Here is a 5,412-nt window from a genome sequence, read left to right as displayed (position 1 = left end):
ACAGCTTGAAGGATACACAGTCAACATGCAGGAATTGATTGCTTTCCTATATGTTATCAATGAACAAGTGGGATTTAAAATTTAAAACACAATACTACTGACATTAGCATCCCAAGCAATAAACTACTTAGATATAAATCCAACAAGATATGTATAAGTCTATATAAGAAAAACTACAAACACAAAGAACTAAATCAATAAAAAACAATCCTATGTTCATAGATAGGAACAATCAATATTGTTACCAAATCAGTTCTTCCTAACTTGATCCCAATCAAAATCCAGCAAGTTATTTTGTGAAATATTGACAAACTGATTATAAAGTTCATGTGGAGAGGCAAAAGGCCTGGACTAGTCAACACAATATTGAAGAAGAACAAAGTGAGAGGACCAGCATTACTCAACTTGAAGACTTAGTAAAAAGCTATAGTAATCAAGACAATGTGGTACTGGCATAAGAACAAACAGATCAATGGAATAGAATAGAGAGCCAAGAAACAGACCCATGCAAATACAGTCAAATAATCTTAGACAAAGGATCAAAGACAATTCAATGGACTAAAGAGTCTTTTTGACAAATGGTAATGGGGCAACTGGACATTCACATGCAAAAAAAAAAGAATCTAGACATGTAACTTAACACCCTTTACAAAAATTAACTCAAAATAAATTATAAACCTAAATGTAAAGTTCAAAACTCTACAACTCCTAGAAGATTACAGTAGAGAAAACCTAAATGGCCATGGGGATTGTCAGTGACTTTCTAGATACAATATCAAAGTCATGATTTATTAAAAAGTTGATAAGTTTAATTAAAATTAAAAACATAAAAACAATGTCACGAGAATAAGAAAACAAGCAACAGACTGATAGAAAATATTTTCAAAAGCTACATCTGAAGAGGGACTGTTATCCAAAATATACAAAAAAAAACCCCTCAAACTTAACAATAAGAAAAGCAACAATACAATTTAAAAATGGGCAAAAGATACCTCATCAAAAAAGATATACAGATGGCAAGTAAGTATATGAAAATATGTCCAATGTTGTAAATTGCTAGGGGATTGAAAATTAAAACAACAATGAGATTCCACTACACACCTAAGAGAATGGTCAAAATCCAAACACTGATGACACTAAATGTTATAGAGGATGTGGAGCAACAGGAACTCTCATTCATTATTAGTGGGAATGCATAATGGTACAGCTACTTTGAAAGACAGTTTGGCAGTTTCTTACAAAACTAAACAAACATACTCTTCCCATACAATCCAGCAATCCCACTCCTTTGTGTTTATTCAAATGAATTGAAGATTTGTGTCTACACAAAAACCTGCATGTAGATTTTTATAGCAGCTTTTATTCATAACTGCCAAACTTGGAAGCAATCAATGTGTCTTGCTGTTGGTGAATGGATAAATTGTGATACATCCAAACAATTGAATTTTATTCAGTACTAAAAATAAATGAGCTATCAAGCCATAAAAAAATGGAGAGACCTTAAATGCATATTACTAAGTGAAAGAAGCCAATTTGACAAAGCTATATGTCACATGATTCCAACTATCTGACACTCTGAAAAAGGCAAAATTATGAAGATAGTAAAAAGATCAATGGTTGCCAGGTGTTGTTTAGGAGGGAAGGATGAACAGGCAGAGCACAGAGGACTTTTAGGGCAGTGAAACTACTCTGTATGATTCTATAATGGTGAATACATGTCATTATACATTTGTCAAAGCCCATAGAATGTACAATACTTAGAATGAACCCTAATGTAAACTGTGGACTTCGAGTGGTAATGTACCAATCATTCATTGATTGTAACTATTGTGCCACTGCGATGTGGGATGTCATTAGTGAGAGGTTGTACCCATGTGGAAATAGAGGTATTGAAACTCTATATTTTCTACTCAAATTTTCTCTAAGCCTAAAATTACCCTAAAAATTAGTTCACTAACTTAAAAAACTAAAGAAATTGGTAATTCTAAAGAAAATCTTTTTCAGGAAAAGTAGAGATTGTTTTACTAGATTTTTAAAAAGCAGGCCCAAATATATGCTGTTTATAGGTGATGCACTTTAAATAGAAGCACAAAAATAAGTTGAGAGTACAAAGATTAAAAAAGACACTATGCAAACCAACAAGATTTAGAAAGCTGGTGTGGCTAAAATTTATATCAAATTTAGTGGAATTCAGGGAAAAAAATGTTATAAATCTAGAGACATTTCATAATAATAAATGAGCAATTCCTCAGAAAGATATAGCTTCTTTTCTCTTACTTACGTGGGTGTTGGTCGCTAAAAAAAAATTTTCATCCCAAAATCCATGTCAGCATTGGCTGCTGGAGAGCTCAATCTGAGACAGCAAGGTTGACTCAACATATAAAAATTAATACATACAATTCACCACAATAACCAAATAAAAGAGAAAAATCAGATGATCAACAAAGTAGATGCAAACGTTTGGCAAAATTCAATACCTGTTAGCGATTTAAAAAACTCCACCAACTAGGATCTTGGTACTCCTACACCTAGTTTGAACTGTGACTGGGCAATTATAGCAACCAGAGCCTGATAAGGGCATGATGACCACAAGATGATTGTCATGAATGAAAGTCTAGGTTGCCCCCACCAACCAAGCCACCTGAATCAACACAAGTGCTAGCTAAAAAAGAGAAAGCTAAAAAATTTAATACAGGTGAGAGGAAAAGGATTATAAAAATCATTTATGGCCTTGGGATCAACAGCAGCAACAAGAGTTGTAGCTCTTCCCAGTAATGCTTGTAAAATTTTCCAAGAAACTTTGATGAATTAAGCTGTGGCAGGGTAGAGTAAACTTAATGTGAGATGCAAACTATCAGAGCAATGCAAGAGGAGGGACACTAATGGAAAATGCTCCTGTTGTGCACAGATCCCCTGAGATCATTTTATCGTTTCTGTTTTCCCTAATCCCAGTTTCTATACATTTTTGCCACTGATGGGCTACACCTGCTACTCTTCTTTGCCTACTGCCCTCAGGTTACCAGAGCCACTTGTGCAGAGAGCTAGAAGTGTCTGGACCTTACATTCTCACAACCCCATGCCTACACTCTTTCTCTTCATTTGGTCCTTTACACTTGAGAGATAGCATGGCAGAATGAAGCCCATTTTACTTGCTCAGGACAAACTCTGAGGTGCAATTTACACTCCATTGTTTCCTTACAGCATCAGGCTGAAGCTACCTTCCAAAAATTTTACTCTTGTTAGATTATTTCCTTTCCTTTCCTACTTCCCCCATTTCCTTTCTGGTGTCTCTGGAGAGCACTTTCCATGCACAAGAGGAGAGTCTGGTACTGGGACACCCAACCTAAAATATTTTGTTATAAACCTCCACAACACCTTATATTTCTACTTCATATTACTCAACTCATGGGCAATGATTAGTTCAAAGCCTAAGTTCCCTGCTAGTGTGTAAAGTACATAAGTAGAGGGACTGGGCACTTTTGTCATCCCTAGTGTCTAAACTACTTTGTGGCACATAGATTCAAAGACATGTTGTATGATATATGAATGAAAACAAACCAAGAGTATCACAATTAATTAGTGAATTGGCGATATGTTTGTGATGTTTTAAAAAGAAACATTGTTTCTTTTTACATAAAAAGGCTTTTATACATAAAAATGCTTTATTGCTTTTAAGTGGATTTAGTGCATTGACCTAGGATAGATAAGCAAACACCAGTACTAAAAATAGAAGTCCTTAGGAATTCACTTATGATTTTTCAACCCCTCTGGGCACCTTTCTGTAACTGTTATTGGTTTGTTCTATATTTTCTAGTTTGATTACTCTTTTTGAAAGACAAGACAGACTCACAACAGAAGCAAAGTCGGTACTAATTGCACCCATTACCAAAGTTATCCTGGGCATACTTCTCCGTGGGTTCCATCCTTAAAGTTACAGTGAATTCTATGATGTTCAGAATATCTGATTATTTGAACAACATCAGCAGGGCACAACACATGATGTGAACCCAAAATCACCACAGTTGCTGTTCACATCTGCTAAGCAGGGCCTTAACAAATTGTTCAAGTCATTAGAGAGGTAAATATAGGAAAGAAAATGTGTACATTAATCCACACACTGGGAGCTCTTCATTGAAGAAGGAACTGACTGGTGAGTGCTCTCAGTCACTTAATGACACCAAATTGCTACAAGTAGAGTTTCAGAATAATGTTAAGGCAAAGATACAGAAGAGATGAACAAATGAAAAAAATCAGAGTAGTTTTCTATGTTAGCATGCCTGGAATTCTAACTACCAAACTGAACCAATTTGAATTCTTTGTTTTAAAATCTTTCCTCAAGTCTTCTTCTTCCTCTGTGAGCTGAATACACGTCACCCAATATAAATGCCAATTTTAGGTTGTAACACGGAAAAAGACATGTGCATTAATCATGATACCTTGGCCCCACTTGTACCATCTTCCCTTTGGGAGCAAAAGAAACTTTGCTTAAGATAAAATAAATTGGGCCCCCTGCTATAAGTTGGAGAGGGTCCTGGTGAGGAAAAAGTGAATGTGCATTGTGTGTAGAGGTATCTGTATAAAAGCCTCATGCTAAAATTTTAGAGGTTGTTATGCCATCTTAGAAAAGAACGAGGACTATGTTTCACTTTATCCACTATAGAAATATATTATTTGGATATTTTTAACTCAATTACTAAATCTGTTTAACTATAAATGCAAATTCTTAAAAAATATGTATGTGTATATATACACACACATATATATATACACGTACACACACACACGCACATACATATATATGACGTATTTTTTCCAAACTTTAGATGAAAAGTTTATTCACAACAGCAAATGCAAAAAAAGGGGGAAAAGAAGCAGAGTTGTTTTTATTTTTGTTTTGTTTTGTTTTTATTGCAGATGGCTTAGTATTTCCTTACTTCTCCTTCTGTGGCATGACCGTCATTTTTAACTACTGAATGTATTGATACCACAGCTTTTTCAAAAATATTTAGGAAGCTTACAAAAACAAATGATGTCATGGCTAATAGAGATTAGTAAATTAGAGAAGGAAATAGAGACTAAGAAAAAGATAGGAATTCAGATACCAACCATGGGAGTCAATCCTGTTTCTGTGACTGAACTTCTAACTTGGCCCTCGACTTCCTGACAGCTAGACAAAAGGCTGGTAAGTCTAAACATACCAAATGAAAGAAGAGGGAAAAAAACCTCACTATGAAACCACCTCATATGAAACAACCATTTTCCAATTATAAATTATATACTGAATTTTTTGTTTGGGATTGTAGCTAAGAGACCTTTTTCATCAGTGAACATTAGGCTTGGCAACATTTTTGTAGCAAACACATGGTCATTTCATAAAATGGTATTGATTAAATATTTAGTGCAATTGAGTGA

The sequence above is a fragment of the Homo sapiens genome, chromosome 2 (assembly GCF_000001405.40).
Source record: "Homo sapiens chromosome 2, GRCh38.p14 Primary Assembly".
NCBI classification, from domain to species: Eukaryota; Metazoa; Chordata; class Mammalia; order Primates; family Hominidae; genus Homo; species Homo sapiens.
This window is presented reverse-complemented; position numbering follows the sequence as displayed.